At 46.9% G+C, this 18,473-nt stretch overlaps 2 protein-coding genes across 2 annotated transcripts, besides 2 other annotated features; both read right to left on the reverse strand.

The window, feature by feature from the left end:
* Nucleotides 1-988: 988 nt before the first annotated feature.
* HCAR3 (hydroxycarboxylic acid receptor 3) lies at nucleotides 989-3,044 on the reverse strand. Its single transcript, NM_006018.3, has one exon. The coding sequence runs from the start codon at nucleotides 2,968-2,970 to the stop codon at nucleotides 1,807-1,809; it is 1,164 nt and encodes a 387-aa protein (NP_006009.2). The 5' UTR covers nucleotides 2,971-3,044; the 3' UTR covers nucleotides 989-1,806.
* Nucleotides 7,674-7,723: a silencer, noted in NCBI's record as "silent region_5019". NCBI's record gives its function as "represses an Ori minimal core promoter by ATAC-STARR-seq in GM12878 lymphoblastoid cells {active_cell/tissue: GM12878}" and the evidence as "EXISTENCE:reporter gene assay evidence [ECO:0000049][PMID:35858748]".
* HCAR1 (hydroxycarboxylic acid receptor 1) lies at nucleotides 12,309-17,077 on the reverse strand. Its single transcript, NM_032554.4, has one exon. The coding sequence runs from the start codon at nucleotides 16,570-16,572 to the stop codon at nucleotides 15,532-15,534; it is 1,041 nt and encodes a 346-aa protein (NP_115943.1). The 5' UTR covers nucleotides 16,573-17,077; the 3' UTR covers nucleotides 12,309-15,531.
* Nucleotides 15,839-16,506: an enhancer, noted in NCBI's record as "H3K4me1 hESC enhancer chr12:123214153-123214820 (GRCh37/hg19 assembly coordinates)". NCBI's record gives its function as "activates a minimal SCP1, AML or CMV promoter by ChIP-STARR-seq in naive H9 embryonic stem cells {active_cell/tissue: H9 hESC(naive)}" and the evidence as "EXISTENCE:reporter gene assay evidence [ECO:0000049][PMID:30033119]".
* Nucleotides 17,078-18,473: the final 1,396 nt, after the last annotated feature.

The following is an 18,473-nucleotide window of genomic DNA, read 5'->3' on the forward strand; positions in this document are numbered from 1 at the left end:
ATCCTTGCTTTTGGCTTTTTACCTGTACATTGCTTGGTGATACAGACAAGCCAACTGCTCTGAAAGCACAGAGGTAATTCCAGAGCATCCACCTTTCTTCATTTACTGTCATTCACCCAGAGCTGGGAGCCTGTCTCTAAATTCCTTATCTGTGTTCATGTCAGGAGGTTGAAGCAAGCCTCGTCTTGCCAAATAATCAAGGACTGACAGAGTTAGAAATGAAAGCGTAACAGAAACTTGGACTGATCACAGACTCAAACCAGTACATCTCCTTTCCTTCTCCGAATTGGGAACTGAAACCATTCCATAGGAAGCTCGCTCTTCCCCCTCCTATGGAAAAATATCTGCCTGGCTTGATTCCCTTTTTATATTATTTATTATTATTATTTGAGATGAAGTCTTGCTCTGTCCCCCAGGCTGGAGTGCAGGCACACCACCTCGGCTCACTGCAACCTCCGCCTCCCGGGTTCAAGCAATTCTTCTTCTCCCAGCCTTCCCAGTAGCTGGGACTACAAGCGGCCGCCACCATGCCTGGCTAATTTTTCTTGTATTTTTAGTAGAAGTGGGGTTTCACCATTTTGTCCAGGCTGGTCTCAAACTCCTTACTTCAGGTGATCTGCCCGCCTTGGCTCCCCCAAAGTGCTGGGATTACAGGCATGAACCATTGCACCTGGCCTTGATTCCCTTTTTAATGCACAAATATGAAGAGCAATATTCACCAAACTCTAATAAAATGTAAGTGCTCTTGCAATCCTATCTGTACTATCCTTCCAAATTATTTTTAATCCCAGCTCTTTCTATCTTTGTTTAGACACAGGTGTAATTTCTGCTTAGTTGTTTCATGATGTAGCTCAGTGTCTGTGTCTCTTTCTTACTTTGCAGTGTGGAGTAGTTTTCTACCAGGACAAAGTTAACAACCCATAAAGGTCTCTGCTTAAGTAAGAAGTCCATTTCTGTGAACCATAACCCAGATATAGCAACGCCAGACTGTCTCCTATCAAAATTTATTGAAATGGTAGATTTTTGGTAAGTACAGAAACACAAGCGAAGGAACCAGGAGGAACGTGCACCCCTCTACCCGTGGGGCAGAGGCACGTTTCCCTTTTAATGGTAAAAGCAAACAGGTGGGAAACAGCTTTCTATCCTGAAGCCGTTTTAACTGTTCAACCCTTAGATTACTATAAACAAGAGAGGAATGGATTGCATTAGTCGCTGGTTGAAAGCAGCAATGCCATTTCCTTTCCCATAATAACACTGTTTAGCTCAGTCCCTTCTGGGGCTAATCCCCTATTACACCCACCGGAAACACAGATACTAACCAAAGCATGTGAGTCTCTTCCCTGAGTCCATTTCTGCTAAAGATTGTCTGAAAGATGAATTGGTCCACGGAAGCCAGGTGACCTACTGGCTTGTTTAATGATGCCTGGGCTTCCTCCAGGAACAACACAATTCCCTCCAATCTCAGCTCTCCTTATCCCTGCTAGAGCTCACAAGCAGGCTAGATATCACCCCAGGAGCTGAGCCCCCTCCAGTCTGAGGCAGATGTGGGAAGAAGGCCAACAAGTCACAAGTAGATCTCTGGCTCCAACTCTGCTCAGCAGAAACGCCTACAATTTGCCCATCTTCAGTCCTGCGAGCGTCAGAGATGAAGCAAGTTTCAGATGCCTAGAAGCTTTACTCTCTGTTCCTCCAGGATTCCTGCGGTCACACCTTGCAACCAGTCTCCCACTCATCTGCCACAGTTTCCCTAAATCAGATTCTCTGAATCTGGAAGTTCCAGGAAATCTTAGGCCGAGTCCAGTGACATTACTCGATGCAACAGCCCAACTGTTTCTCCAGAGATGCTGGTTCTTGGTGACAATGTCCCTTCTTGGAATGGTTATTTGAGGTTGGGCCCAGATAAGAGGGGCTCCATGGCTCACCGGAGTTGGCGATTAACGCCTCTGGAGCGCCTCTGGTTTTGTTGGGGTCCCCTGTGAGCTCGACGCTCGTGCTGCGGTTATTATCTGGCTCACCTGTTATCTTCCTCTGGAGGCAGCGGTTGATCAAAGTGGAGAAGAAGTTGGGAAAGGATGGGCTGGAGAAGTAGTACACCACGGGGTCCAGCATGCTGTTCATGTAGGTGAAGCTGAGAGTGATAAAGAACGCCAGGTCCACCGAGCGGTACACTTCACAATTCTGCGTGCCCGAAGTGTGCAGGAGCCAGAAGATGTGGATCCGCACAACCACGCTGGGAAGGAAGCAGATGACAAAGACGATGGCCACCACCATGATGAAGGTGATGGCTCTCTTGATCTTGGCATGCCGGTCCATTTGTCTCTGCCGCAGGCTCCAGATAATTCTGGCTGAGCAGAACAGGATGATGCCCAGGGGCAGGAAGAACTCCAGGAGGAACATAGCTTCGTGCCACCGGAAGGTATGGCAGATGCTGAAGCTGATGCACACATTTGCAGTGCCATTCTGGATCAGCAACTTCTTCTTCAGGAGGTGGACTGTTAGGCCAACAGTGATGCCCCACAGAAGGCAAGAGATGATGGCTGCTGTCCAATTGGAGATCTTGTTCAGGGCGTGGTGGGGATGGACCACCCGGAAATACCTGTCTACCGCCACCACCGTGAGGAATATGATGCTGCCCTGGCGGTTCATGGCAAACATGAAGAGCACCAGCCGGCAAGGGATGTCCCCAAACTTCCAGTCTGAACGCCGCACATAGTAGTCCATCACGAACGGCAGGCAGATGATCAGTAGAAAGTCAGCTACTGCCAGGTTGAACAGGAAAATCCGGCTGGATTTCCAGGACTTGAGGTGGAAACAGAAAATCCACAGGGCAAGGCCATTGCCCAGAAGCCCAAAGATAAACTCCAGCCCCAACACCGGCGGCAACACCTTGGCAATGAAGTCATCTCGGAACACACAGCAGTTCTTCTTGTCTATTTCCAGAAAGTGATCCTGCAGATGGTGCCGATTCATGAGTGCAGCTAGTGAGTCCGATGGAGCGCCTCGCCTAGTGAATGCTCCAGCAAAGTGGCGTGTGTCTGTATGGTGAACGTGTGGTTCCGTGCCTGCCTTTATGTCATGTCAGGGTGTTGAAATAGATGACTGAATGGTTATCAGGAAACTACGAAATCTCTAAAAAAAAAAAAAAAAAAGCCAGCAAGGCTCTTATGCAACCTGCTGTTTGCATAAACAAATAATAAAAATCCCCTGGGCATACAGGAACCCACCAAATGTCTTAAATGTAAAGGATAAGTTTAGGCAAGCTGACTGTCATTCGAAAATCAGTGAAACATGAAGGACATCCCTTTGGAAGGCTGGGTGCTTGTATGCCAACTGAGTACTCAACGTTGCAGAATTAATTCACCGTCATCTGCTTGGCTGACATAATTAACAAAACAACAACAATAGCAATAATAATTTTTGGTGCCAAACAGTGAGGTTTTCCAGAAACACTAAGAATTAGCATGAAAAATTAACAGGCATATGACATAAACAGTAGCAGGCATATGATTTCTTTTGGAAATGCTGAGAAGACAGTAGTTGCCTGTTTGATGAGGACAGACTGGTTGAATTTGACCACTTTTCCTATGCTACCTTTCTGTACAAACATGGAGTGCTTTTCCATATCAGAACTCTGCCATTCATCTCCAGTTAGGAAAAAAAAAAAAGCCTGCTGGAGAGTGTAATATTTCATAAGATGTTTGAAAACTTGAGCCCAGTTTCAGTGGCATGTTAAAATAAGTTGGGTTTTTTGTTTGTTTATATTAGATTTTGATATGCTTCTGTGCTCAAGTGATTTAAGTATGTGATTTCTTTTTTTTGCAAACTTTGAATTAATGAGAAAAGGATTCATGAGGCTAGTTGTAAGCTGTAGCAAATCGGGTGTACTTTGTGCTACAAATTTGTTTTTCTGTGTCGCTCTGCATGAAGAGGGGTACCTTAGGATAGAGCATGGGGTTAGTACCCCATAAGCTGTCTGTTCTAGACAGCCCAGGAAACTGGTCAGTAAGAAAGTTGGTTGCAGGTCCCTGAAACAAACAAAAAACTGGATGAGGTCTCTAACTTGTTTTATGTCCTTGGGACCTTAGGATGTGATTTTTTTTTTTTGAGACAGAGTCTCACTCTGTCACCCAGGCTGGAGAACGGTGGAACAATCTCAGCTCACTGCAACCTCCGCCTCCCAGGTTCAAGCAATTCTTCTGCCTCAGCCTCCTGAGTATCTGGGACTACAGGCGTGCGCCACCACGCCCAGCTAATTTTTTGTATTTTTAGTAAAGACGAGGTTTCACTGTGTTGGCCAGGCTGGTCTCGAACTCCTGACCTTGTGATCCACCCGCCTCGGTCTCCCAAAGTGCTGTGATTACAGGCGTGAGCCACTGCGCCTGGCCGTGATTTTTTTTTTTTAATGAACTTTATTTTTTAGGGCAGTTTTAGATTCACAGCAAAATTGAGCAGAAAGTACGGACGGTCCTGTGCACTCTGTCTCCACACACGCAAAACCTCCCCCACTAAGTATGTGATATTTTTAAAGCCCCCATTTTTGTAAAATTAAACTTAGAGTGACAGGACCTAAGAGGACATGGAACCCTGCCTTGTAGCGGGACACCATTGCACACATTGTTTCTCTGCTTGTCAGTGCGATTGGGTGTCATCCTATAGAATGTTTTCTCCCTTTAATATTTTGGTCTTATGAATTCTTCCATGCAGGAGACTTCTAAACTATGTTGCTTCTACTTTGAGTTATATAATGTAAATTTCTTCCTTTTTTTTTTTTTTTCTTTTGAGATGGAGTTTCACTCTATCGCCCAGGCTGGAGTGCAGTGGCTCACTGCAACCTCTGCCTCCTGGGTTCCAGTCATTCTCCTGCCTCAGCCTCCCAAGTAGCTGAGACTACAGGTGCCCGCCACCGTGCCTGGCTAATTTTTGTATTTTTTAATAGAGATGGATTTCACCATTTTGGCCAGGCTGGTCTTGAACTCCTGACTTCAAGTGATCCTCCCGCCTTGGCATCCCAAAGTGCTGGGCTTACAGGTGTGAACCATCACTGCCGGCCATAAGATGTCAATTTATTTCTTTAGCTGCAAACGCAGGTTCAATAATAGGAGCTTATAGAGTCTTCAAGTAAACTAGAGTTAGGATGACCTAATATTAGGTTCCCATAGAACTACAAGTACTTGATGATGATCCAGGTGAGATGAAGACAATGATGAAGATGATGGTGGCACCTACATTATAGAGAGCTTCCCATGTGCTGGAACCCATACTCAGTGCTTTTTTTTTTTTGAGACAAAGTCTCGCTCTCGCCTCACTGCAAGCCCCGCCTCCTGGGTTCACGCCATGCTGCCTCAGCCTCCCGAGTAGCTGGGACTACAGGCACCCGCCACCACGCCTAGCTAATTTTTTGTATTTTTAGTAGAGATGGGGTTTCACCATGTTAGCCAGGAGCTCAGTGCTTTTATAGTTGCTTGTTTCACTCTGACTGTAGCCCATGTGGAAGGTATTATTATTGATTCTGATTTCAAATGAGGAAAGTGAAGCTCAGAGAGGATAAAATATTCAGGGCCACCCAGCTCATAAGAGCAGAGCATGGCCGGGCGCGGTGGCTCACGCCTGTAATCCCAACACTTTGGGAGGCCGAGACGGGAGGATCACAAGGTCAGGAGATCCAGACCATCTTGGCCAATATGGTGAAACCCCGTCTCTACTAAAGTATACAAAAATTAGCTGGGCGTGGTGGCGGGCGCCTGTAATCCCAGCCACTTGGGAGGCTGAGGCAGGAGAATCGCTTGAACCAGGGAGTTGGAGGTTGCAGTGAACCAAGATTGTGCCACTGCACTGCAGCCTGGGTGACAGAGCGAGACTCCACCAAACAAACAAACAAACAAACAAAAAAACCCGGGCACAGTGGCTCACGCCTGTAATCCCAGCACTTTGGGAGGCTGAGGTGGGCGGATCACGAGGTCAGGAGTTTGATACCAGCCTGGTCAACATGGTGAAATCAGATCTCTACTAAAAATACAAAATTTAGCTGGGTGTGGTGGCGCGTGCCTGTAATCCCAGCTACTCAGTAGCGGAGGCAGGAGAACTGCTTGAACTGGGACCCAGGAGGCGGAGGTTGCGGTGAGCTGAGATGACGCCATTGCACTACAGCCTGGGCAACAAGAGTGAAACTCTGTTTAGAAAAAAAAAAAAAAAAAACAGAGGCCAGGCGCCGTGGCTCACGCCTGTAATCCAAGCACTTTGGGAGGCTGAGGCGGGCGGATCACGAGGTCAGGAGATCGAGACCATCCTGGCTAACACGGTGAAACCCTGTCTCTACTAAAAATACAAAAACAAAAAATTAGCCAGGCGTCGTGGCGGGCACCTGTAGTCCCAGCTACTTGGGAGGCTGAGGCAGGGGAATGGCATGAACCAGGGAGGCGGAGCTTGCAGTGAGCCTAGATCGTGCCAATGCACTCCAGCCTGGGTGACAGAGTGAGATCCTGTCTCAAAACTAAAAGAAAAAAAACAGCTGAGCTTGGATTTGAATCTGGCAGTGACTTCAAAGCCTGTGTCCCTAACCATCATGCTCACTGCCTCTTACTATGTTATTGCCTTGTCTGTAAGGTTGAAGATCTTGCTCAGGGCATGGTGGGGATGGAGGTCATGCTGTTCAGGCTTTAGTGAAATAATTGGTATTTGTTTCTTGTTCTTGCTGCCTGTGAATACCATGCTTCCTTCTTGGATGTATGTGGACACTTGTCAACAACATTCATAAAGTAATCCTAAGGGCCTTTATTAACTAAGAGTCAGAGAAGTCAGCAGTATTTATTTCTAGAAGCTGAAATTTGCAAGGGACTCTCCCTTTCTAAGTTTCACAATTTCATAATATTTTGTGTGTGTGTTTTTTTTTAAACAATAGTCATGGATAAAATTAGAAAAAAACAACCACAGGCCAGGCCTGGTGACTCACCCTTGTAATCCCAGCACTTCGGGAGGCCGAGGCAGGCAGATCATGAGGTCAGGAGTTCAGGACCAGCCTGGCCAATATGGTGAAACCTAGTCTCTACTAAAAATACAAAAATTAGCCGGGTGTGGTGGCAGGCACCTGTAGTCCCAGCTACTCAGGAGGCTGAGGCAGGTAGAATCGCTTGAACCCGGGAGGCGGAGGTTGCCGTGAGCCAAGATCACACCACTGCACTCCAGCCTGGGCAACAGAGTGAGAATCCATGTCAAAAAATAATAATAATATTAAAATAAAAATAAATAAAAGAACAACCACACATGTTAAGTTTGCAAAAGAACCTGGAGCCTGGATGTATGTTCTGGCTCTCTCATTAACTAGCTGTGAAACCCCTTAACCCCTCACCCGCTCATGAGGAATTAGATGATCTTCGAACTTCCTCCCAGCTCTCACACTACATGATTCTAAACCAAAGTCCGCGGCTACTCGGGCAGATTCTAAAGGGCAGCCTCGCTGGATTCTGGTGCCTCCGATGGAATTTCCGGTCTTCCCACTGCACAGTGAGCATGTTTTGTCTTGCTTGTTTCCTTCTTTCATGCATTTATTATTTTTTTCTTACAAGTGTATGAGTTGTACAGAAACTTGTTTAATGAATCATTTCAAGAGTGAAGGCAGTGATCCCTCCGCATTTCGTAGAAACTCCACTTAAAATTTATCACTCACCCAGTTGAATCTCCATGCCTGGTTATCTTATGACAACTTGAATGTGTACCACTAAACTGGATTGAATTATTGTAAAAATTAATAGTGACACGACTGCATTGTACTGAGAGATTTGCATATGTGATCTCCTTTAATCTTCACAAAAACCCTGTGACAGATGTATTATTATTGTCATTATCATCTCCATTTTACAGATTGAGAAACCGAGGCATCAGGAGGTTAAGTAACTATTTCGTGTCTTTGAACTAACCTGGGATTTTTGGTTTTATTTATTATTTAAATAGAGATAGGGTCTCACTGCATTGCCCAGGCTGGTCTCGAACCGTAGGCCCAGGTGATCTTCCAGCCTCGGCCTCCCAAAGTGCTGGCATTACAGGTGTGAGCCACCATGCCAGGCCATCGGATTTCTGTTTTAATTATCTATTGCTGCATTAAAAATTGCCACAAAACATAGCGGCTTAACACAACCTCCATTGTGTCATCTCTCATGGTTCTCTGTGTTGGCTGGCCTCAGCTGGGTGCTTCTCATTTGGGGATTCTCAGATGGCAGCCGGGCTAGAGTCATACGGATGCTTAAGAAGGACACTGGGACACTCAGGCTTCTCTCTGTCTCCACAGAACCTTGATGCCTCTCTACATGGCGTCCCTGTGGCCTCTCTGTGTGGCCCCTCTATGTGGCATCTACACACAGCCTCTTCACATCTTCTTTCCACGACATAGTCTGGACTTTGTACATGGACATACTTAGGGCTTCTGAAGGCACACAGGCAGACCTTCTCCATCCCTGGGCTTGGAAACCCCAGAACATCACCTCCACCACATTCAATCAGGCAAAACAAATCACAGAGCCAGTCCATATTCCACTGGGAGGTGCCACCTAAGGGTGGGAGTGCCAGGAGGTACAGCACATTGGGGCTATTCAGACTCACCACTACAGAATATAGATGACACTGAGTCAGGACCCTTGGCTAGCAGGAAATAAGGGGCCCCTGGGCCCCCAACGAAGGAGATGTAGTTGTAGAAGCTGGGAAGTAAGGGGGTAGAGAGGAAGCTGATCATACTGACTAGCAGAGACACATAGATACACACACACATTTCTTTTGAAAAAGGAGAAGAGCACTTCATGGTTTTGAAAAGTTTGGGTTTATTGTAAAAAACCTAAGGGCAAACCAGAATAACCAAATAATCTTGAAAAAGAAGAACTAAGTTGGAGAACTCTCCCTTTACTGTAAAGCTACAGTAGTCCAGTGTGATTCTGGCATAAGGATAGATATTACAGCTCAAGAGAGCAGGACTGAGAGTCCAGAAATAAACCCTTATATTCATGATCAGCTGATTTTCAACAAGGGTGCCAAGACAATGGGGGAAAGAAGAGTCTTTGTAATAAATGATGTTGGGACAACTAGGTCACCACAAGCAAAAGAACTGGACCCCTTTGCTACACGGTACACAGAAATTAACTCAACTTGGGTTACGACCTAAATGTAAGAGCTAAATCTAAAAAACTCTTAGAAGGAAATGTAAGAGGCCAGGCATGGTGGCTCACACCTGTAATCCCAGCACTTTGGGAGGCCAAGGTGGGTGGATCCGTTGAACTCAGGAGTTCAAGACCAGCCTGGGCAACACAGCAAGACCTGGTCTCTACAAAAAATACCAAAATTAGCTGGGCATGGTGGCACATGCCTGTGGTCCCAGCTACTTGGGAGGCTGAGGGAGGCAGATTGCTGGAGTCCAGGGGTTCAAGGTTACAATGAGCTGAGATCATGCCACTGCACCCCAGCCTGGGTGACAGAGCAACACCCTGTCTCAACAACAAAAAGAAAAACAAGATAGAGAGGAATCTGAAAGTCTATTCATGAATCTTCTGTCACGCTAAGGGTTAGAACAGACAACAGACCCTTCCCTCCTCGGCTGACCTCATGGCTTCACGTCTTACCGAGTGGTCGCAGCCCCAGCCTGGACTTTTCGTTCCTGCCCTATTGGTCTTCCTGCATTTCCCAAACACTTGGCTCTTTTTCACCTTTCTACATCTGCCTGGAATACCCTTCCCCACTGTGTCCCTGGTGGCTTCCTGTCCATCCTTCAGAGCCGAGTTTGCAAGCTACTTCCTCTGAGACGACTAAGACAGGAGTAAGGGCCCTGGATTCTCCTGCAGGACCCTGTGTGAAAGTGCCAAACACAGGGTCCCACAGGATAATTGTATTATTTTATTTTATTTTTGAGACAGAGTCTTGCTTGGTCGCCCAGGCTGGAGTGCAGTGGTGTGATCTCAGCTCACTACAACCTCTGCCTCCCAGGCTCAAGCGATTCTCCTGCCTCAGCCCCCTGAGTAGCTGGGATTATAGGCACACACCACCACACCCAGCTAATTTTCGTATTTTTAGTAGAGACGGGGTTTCACCATGTTGGCCAGGCTGGTCTTGAACTCCTGACCTCAAGTGATCTGCCCACCTCGGCCTCCCAAACAGCTGGGATTACAGATGTGAGCCACCACCCCTGGCCATATTTTATAATTTTTTATTTTCTAATTTTATTTTTTCCCTTGGTTTCTACAATGGGCCCCGTGGCTATGTTTTTCATTTATGTTTCTACTGTGTCCAGTATAGAGCTAGTGCTTCATTAATGTACCTTGAAATAGGAAATGAATGAATGAATCCTTATAAGGAATAAAATATTTACCCCCCTCCCTCTATGTCATTTTATAGTCCAATACACAGAAACCCGAATACAGATTTGGCTCATATGTGAGCCCATCTGTTTCATCTGTTTATTCTATTCCATCTCTCTCTAATATATAAATAATTATATATTTATATTATATAATGTACATATATAAATATGACATATAATATGGTAAATATGACGATAAACAACATGTCATATGTAAAAATTATATAGCAGAAATATATATAATAAATAAATAAATGTGTGTAAACTTACAGCCTCTGCTTCGTGGATGAGCTCAGAAGGGCCCTGTGCTACCATCTTCAAAATTCTTAATACTTTTTATTATTTAAAAAAAATTTTGGCCTGGCGCAGTGGCTCTCACCTGTAATCCCAGCACTTTGTGAGGCTGAGGTGGGTGGATCACGAGGTTAGGAGTTCAAGACCAGCCTGGCCAATATGGTGAAAACTTGTGTCTACTAAAAATATAAAAATATTAGCCTGCTGCGGTGGCATGCGCCTGTTGTCCCAGTTACTCAAGAGGCTGAGGCAGGAGAATCGCCTGAACCAGGGAGGGGGAGGTTGCAGTGGGCCAAGATGCGCCCCACTGCACTCCAGCCTGGACAACAGAGCGAGACTGTCTGAAAAAAAAATTTTTTTTAATTTAGTGGCATGATCGTAGCTCACTGAAGCCTCTACTTCTTGGTCTCAAGGGATCCTGTCACCTCAGCCTCTCAAGTAGCTAGGACTACAGTCACGCACCACCACACCTGGCTAATTTTTAAAATTTTTGTAGAGATGGAGTCTCACCATGTTGGCCAGAGTGGTGTCAAACTCTTGGCCTCAAGTGATCCTCCCGCCTCGACCTCCCAAAGCTCTGGAATTACAGGCATGAGCCACCTCGCTCAGCCATTAACACCTTTTGAACAAGGGACCCCACATTTTCATTTTTCACTGGGGCCTGCAAAGTAGGTCGCTGATCTTGAAGCCATTTATGCACTCGTTGTGATGATGGAGTCTTTCTTGAATCGTATCAGAAACCTCTGTGAATCAGAAGGCCTGGGAAGCCAACAGGTAGAGACCACGCCTCACAGTGCAGCCAAGTCTCCACCTTGAGAACAACTGGCTCAAGCCCTTGTGCCTCAGAGTTCTAATCCCCTCCAAGGAGCTGCTGCACTTTAGTAACCTTCAGATGCCATGTTAAACATTTTGGTTTTAATAAAGGGTAAGGAAATCCATTCCGAGAATAGACCAAAACTGAAAGTTTTACCATGGTTAGCACGAATAAAAGACACCTCTTGTTTTTTCCACATCATCCCTATAGACTTATAGCTCTTCCAGCTTTCATGTGACTTTTCCTGAAAGACTCTAAAAGGAGGAACAAGGAGGAAGGATCACTTGAACCCAGGAGTTTGAGAGGAGCCTCGGCAACATAATGAGACCCCATCTCTACAAAAATTACAGAAAAATTAGCTGGACATGGTGGAGTGTACCTGTGGCCCCAGCTACTAGGGAGGCTGAGGTGGGAGGATCGCTTGAGCCTGGAAGTCGAGGTTGCAGTGAGCCATGATCACACCACTGCACTCCAGCCTGGGCAACACAGTGAGACCCCATCTCACCAAAAAAAAAAAAAAAAGAGGGAGAACACATTTTCCTCTAAAACAATCATTTTCCTGTTTCAGATAGTTTAAACAAAGTGTTGTCAACAAAGCTATACTCCACTTCTTTACAATGTCCAAAGAAACTTCTTGCTAAGATGTATTTTTCGTCACATTCTGCGAACGTAAAAAGGGAAGCAAATTTAGAATCAAGACTGTATTTCAGTTTGGATTTGATTTTTCTTTTTGTTTGTGCTTGCTGTTTTTTTGGTGAGAACCTCTGCCTGCCTGCCTGCCATGCAGTTCTAGATATTTTAGCTTTTTTTCCTTGGAGGGCAAAATCCTAGGGGTCCTTTGACCTAGAGTCACACACAGGACACAGATTTGCTTTCAGAATCCATTTTTATTACAATGAAGGAACAAAGGAGCAACAGCCCAGGAGAGAATTCTAAGAATAGAACTAAAAGCAGAAGTGTGTGTTTTCGCAGATTCCTATCAGGAGGATGTATGACTAATGCTGGTAAGAATTCTTGCCTTTACTCTTCCCCAGGTAACTGAGGGGCGGGGGAATTCAGGCATGATAACAGAGGAACAACTTAAGCGCTCTAAACCCCAAAGGAAATGCTTTCTTGCCTCCATTTCTTTATATGTAAAACGTGTTAATATAAGAAGTCATAATATTGAGCACTTACTGCCAGGCGCTATGCTTAATGCTTTACATGCACTTAATCATTCATTCAACAAACATTTACTGAGCACCTGCTATGTGCAGGTCCTCTTCTAGGCATTGGGTATATAACAGTGAACAAAGTTCTGATGCCTCAGGAATGTACATTCATTTAAACTGCCCAATGACACACTGAGGTTGTATTACAGTATCCCTGTTTGACAGACGAGGAAAATGAAGCTACAAATGATTAAATAAAATCTGCCAGGCTGGGCGGGGTGCGGTGGCTTACACCTGTAATCCAAGCACTTTGGGAGGCCGAGGCAGGCGGATCACAAGTCAGGAGATCAAGACCATCCCGGCTAACACAATGAAACCCCGTCTGTACTAAAAATACAAAAAATTAGCCGGGCGTGGTGGTGGGGCGCCCGTAGTCCCAGCTACTCTGGAGGCTGAGGCAGGAGAATGGCGTGGACCCAGGAGGCAGAGCTTGCAGTGAGCTGAGATTGGGCCACTGTACTCCAGCCTGGGTGATAGAGCAAGACTCTGTCTCAAAAAAAAAAAAAAAAATATATATATATATAGATAGATAGATATCTATATATCTCTATATATATCTATATATATGCCAGGCTGGGAGCAGTGGCTCATGCTGGCAATCGCAATACTTTGGGAGGCCAAGGTGGGAGGATTGCTGGAGGCCAGGAGTTTGAGACCAGCTTGGGCAACACAGTGAGTGAGACCTCGTCTCTATAAAAAAAATTTAAAAATTAGCTGAGTGTGGTGGCTTATGCCTGTACTCCCAGCTATTCAGGAGGCTGAGGTGGGAGGAACACTTGAGCCCAGGAGTTTGAGGCTGCAGTGAGCTATGATCATGCCACTCACTGCACTCCAGCCTGGGCAACAGAGCAAGATTCAGTGTCTAAAAACACAAGCTGCCCTAAGATCACAGGCCTAGTAAATGCTTGAGCTGAGATTCAAACTTCGATGCTTCTAATGCTCTATAGCTCGTACTTTTCATCACTAGGCTGCACAGTGCCTCTGAAAAAAGGAATAATAGGGACAGCCTAGAGGGGTGTTTTGAGGCCAAAGAACTAGAAGTTGGCAAAGTTCTTTTTTTTTTTTGAGACGGCGTTTCACTCCTGTGGCCCAGTCTGGAGTGCAATGGCACGATGTCACCTCACCGCAACCTCCACCTCCTCGGTTCAAGTGATTCTCCTGCCTCAGCCTCCCGAATAGCTGGGATTATAGGCATGCGCCACCACACCAGGCTAATTTTGAATTTTTAGTAGAGACGAGGTTTCTCCATGTTGGTCAGGCTGGTCTAGAACTCCTGACCTCAGGTGATCCGCCTCAGTCTCCCAAAGTGCTGGGATCACAAGCGTGAGCCACCATGCCCAACCCCCAGAAGTTGGCAAGGTTCTTAAGTGGGTAGAGTATCCTGGGCATTTGAGAGAGTATAAATTAAGGAGTTGAGAACCATGTTCACCACTTTGTAGCTTGAGAAAGGAGCTAGAGTTGGCCTGGAATGTTTCCCCCTAATTCAGGGCAGGGGCAGCTTGTCATTTCGTAGAGTCCTCTGTTTCGAGGGGTCCAGGTACACATTTGGGAAACTCATGTGTATGAGGGAGTCTTGCAATAAGAGGACAAAACTGATGTTCACACAGAATCGGTCTAGAAACTGTATTCCGTGAAAGGATGAAAGCTCTTAACTTCTCTGTCCCCACCCCCCCAAAAAACTTTACTGTCACATAAGAGTTGACTAATGACCCTCCACTAAAAATTACACAGTATACTGCCTGCCACCAAATACGAATTCAGTAAATACTTGGAAAATAAGTGAATAATTTCAATTCACAGTCACATGACAAGTTGTCAAAAGCAATTATAAAAGCAATTGTATTGGACTCAGCACATCCCACTGGAGAAGCCAGGGCAAGGAAACAGATCCCTCAGCACCTTCTTTGAAATACAAAGATTTGAAGAAGGTCAGAGCAGATTGTTTTGTTGTTGTTCTTCTTGGGCTACCAGGAAGTCACAATGATGACAGACGTACAGATGTACATTTGGACAAAATGTACAGATGTACAAAGAAATGTAAAGATGAAAATTGATAGATCAATAGATCCCAATCTAAAGAGCCTCATTCGGCCTGAAATAAAGCATTGATTGACTGAGCCCGGTTTCTGTTTTCTGAGATAAGGAATGATTTAAGGTCAGAGGATAGGAAATGCTGCTAACTGCCCCATAGCCCCTAAGAGAGTGAACATGCCCCATTCAAACACATATACCCATTTACTTAGCCATTTAAAATGACACAGGGGAGGCCAGGCACGGTGGCTCACGCCTGTGATCCCACCACTTTGGGAGGCCAAGGCAGGCGGATCACCTGAGGTCAGGAGCTCGAGACCAGCCTGGCCAACATGGCAAAACCCTGTCTCTACTAAAAATACAAAAATTAGCCGGGTGTGTTGGCTGGCGCCTCTAATCCCAGCTACTCGGGAGGCTGAGGCAGGAGAATTGCTTGAACCCGGGAGGCAGAGGTTGCAGTGAGCCGAGACTGTGCCACTGCACTCCAGCCTGGGACACAGAGTGAGACTCTGTCTCAAAACAAAAACAAACAACGAAAATTACACAAGGGCTGTGCAGTTCCTAGCCCCCCTCCCAACACACACATGCTCCACTCCATGCACATTCTGTCCCCTGCCATTGTGATCAGATAAGAAAATGCAGCCAACTCACTTCAATCAACTGGAACCTCCCCAAAAGGTATAGTTGTGTGAATTTCATTTCCGACAGAATGAGAAGGATGCAGTTCATGTGCGAGAAGCCGTCTTGCAATAAGAAAGGGGGGTGGCATTTTCAAAGCCCCCGACCCCTTAGCACGAGTTAATTCTAAGTCACCACTCTATCTTCCTCAGTGTTGTTGGTCTGCTTGTTCAGTGCCACTCAACAATGTGGGGATCCCATTGCCCATCAGACTGGCTTTGGAAACTATTTGCCACACTGATGCAACTCCTGCGACCGAGGTTCGAAATTGGCATCTCTTCCGGCCTTTGTGTTTTTGAGTGTCCTGGCTGCTTGGGTTTCAGACTGCAGATTTTGAGCTTGTTGTAGAATTTGGGAAAGGAGGGGCTTGAAAAATAATACACCAGGGGATCCAGCATGCTGTTCATGTAGGTGAAGCTGAGGGTTATGTGCAGGGCCCCATGGACAGAGGGATCGCAGGCACTCGAGGGCACCGTCCAGAGGAAATAGAGTCTAGCAGACACGCTGGGCAGGTAGCATGTGATGAACACAATTGCCACCACCATGATGAACCGGGTCGCCTTCTTCATCCGAGCCTGTCTGGCCAGCTGCTGCCTCCGCCTCAGGCTCCAAACAATCTTGAAGGAGCAAAATAAGATGATGCCGAGGGGCATAAAGAACTCCAGCTGGAACATGATGTCATGCCAGCCATTGGCCGACTCCATGATGAAGCTCTCACAGGAGACGGCCGTCTCTTGCACGCAGAGATGGTTCTCCAGCAAAAGATACACTGTTCCCAGGATGACCAGGGCCCACAGGGTGCAGACGATGCCAGCCGCCACCCGGGTGGAGATAGTGTTCACCGCGTGGTGGGGGTGGACCACTTTGAAATACCTGTCCGCAGCCACCACCGTAAGGAACACGATGCTCCCGGCCCTGTTCATGGCCAACGTGAAGAGCCCCACTCGGCAGGGAATGTCCCCAAAAGCCCAGTGTCTACGTCTGAGGTAATAGTCTGTCCGAAAAGGCAGGCAGATCATAAGGAGGAAATCAGCCACGGCCAAATTGAAAAGGTAAACAGTGCTGGGCTTCCAGGTCTTCATGTGGAAGCAGAAACCACACAGGGCGACCCCATTGCCTAGTGCGCCCAGCACAAAGGCCACAATGAGCAGCGGCGGCATCACCTGGGAGATGGTGTCCCCCTCGATGCGGCAGCACGACCCGTTGTACATGGCGGGGACAGAGCAAGTGTCCGGGTGCAGAGCAGCCCAGGGAGTCCCCACAATGGCACAGATGCTTATCTGAGCGTTAGCACTCACCCAGCTGCTGCGTGTCTGACTTCATCACCCAGGATGCGGGTCCTGTGTGTGTGGGTTGGATGCTGCCACAGCAGCGAGAAGAGAAACTTCAGCCAGGAAATGAGAGACCCAGGGAGGTCCTTTCTCTGGAGCCCGTCTCACAAGCCGCCTGCCTCTGGGAGAGGCCAAGCCTGGAGCCGGATGAAGCTTGGAAATGCATGCAATTTTGCAAAAGTGGTCATTTCTGAGAGGCGGTAGGGTGGGGGGGTCCGATGAGATTGATGCCGTAGAGGAGCGATTGGGTCCAGCGCCAGAGTAATTTTCATTTTCAGCTTCGCTGTTCCTCCTCGGACTCCGTGCTGGAGAGCACACAAAGCTGCCCAGAAGGCAAGAAGAAAGCTTGTTTGTCCTCCCTCCTGGTGGAGAAATCCAAACATTTCCTGGAGTGGTTCTGGGCTCCTGCCTTTGCTTTCCTCCCGTAACCTTTGCCTGACTGCCTTGTCCTCTCCCTCATCCCACGGGGCACTCCCATGCGGTGCCAGAGAGGGGAGGCTTTGCTCTGCAGCTCCTCCGGGCCATTTCCTGTGCCGAAAAATACCGCGCTCAAAAATTGGAGGAGTCTGCGGAGAGAAAAGTTCTAATCACGATACTTGATGGATGTTAGAAAAATTCTTTGACGGGAGTCACCTTTCCCCCGCTCTATTCCCACCTCCCTGCCCTTTACATCCTTCCGTGAACCAAAGTGGCCAGTTGCACAACCACCAAGACCATGAAATAGATCTGAAGCCCACTTCTCATATGTCTGTCTCCACAAAACGGCCTCTTTGGGAGCCGGTTTCCCCCTCTGCTGGGAAGCAGAGCCTAGAACTTTTACAAAGATTTGGCCCTGAGTTTCCATTGGCTGTTGAATGAGCCAAACACCATGAGATGTACGTTTTTAATTTCAATTATGTGCTGAGCCCATCAATTAAAACTGCCCCCTGGGGGCGGAAGAGGATTGGAGGAGTTGATTAAGGAGTCCATCTCTAAAGCAATCATGAGTAACATTAGACTGCACAAAAAATTGGAGTCTTTGCTAAAATTTCCTGTCCTTTGGCTTTAAGGATTATTAATCTGCCCTGTGCCTTTCAGCTTCCAGTTTAGAAAATGGGGTGGAGGCCGGGCGCGGTGGCTCACGCTTGTAATCCAAGCACTTTGGTAGGCCCAGGCGGGCGGATCACCAGGTCAGGAGATGGAGACCATCCTGGCTAACACGGTAAAACCCCGTCTCTACTAAAAATACAAAAAAATGAGCCAGGCGTGGTGGCGGGCGCCTGTAGTCCCAGCTACTCGGGAGGCTGAGGCAGGAGAATGGCGTGAACCCGGGAGGCAGAGCTTGCAGGGAGCCAAGATTGCGCCACTGCACTCCAGTCTGGGTGACAGAACCAGACTCCGTCTAAAACAAACAAACAAACAAACAAACAAAACAACAAGAAAAAGAAAAAGAAAAAAGAAAGAAAGAAGAAAATGGGGTGGAGGCCAGTCGCGGTGGCTCACATCTATAATCCCAGCACTTTGGGAGGCCGAGGCAGGTGGATGACTTGAGGTCAGGAGTACAAGACCAGCCTTGCCAACATGGTGAAACCCCATCTCTACTAAAAATATACAAAAATCAGTCAGGTGTTGTGGCATGTGTCTGTAATCCCAGTTACTCAGGAGGCTGAGGCAGGAGAATCACTTGAACCCGGGAGGTGGAGGTTGCAGTGAGCCGAGATCGTGCCAATGAACTCCAGCCTGGGTGACAGAAAGAAACTCTGTCTCAAAAAAAAAAAATGGGGCGGAAAAGAGGGGGTGCA

The sequence above is a fragment of the Homo sapiens genome, chromosome 12 (assembly GCF_000001405.40).
Source record: "Homo sapiens chromosome 12, GRCh38.p14 Primary Assembly".
NCBI classification, from domain to species: domain Eukaryota; kingdom Metazoa; phylum Chordata; class Mammalia; order Primates; family Hominidae; genus Homo; species Homo sapiens.

Excerpts from the sequence above, each read along its gene's own strand:
- HCAR3 (NM_006018.3), bottom strand. The coding sequence starts at position 2,970 with ATGAATCGGCACCATCTGCAGGATCACTTTCTGGAAATAGACAAGAAG.
- HCAR1 (NM_032554.4), bottom strand. The coding sequence starts at position 16,572 with ATGTACAACGGGTCGTGCTGCCGCATCGAGGGGGACACCATCTCCCAG.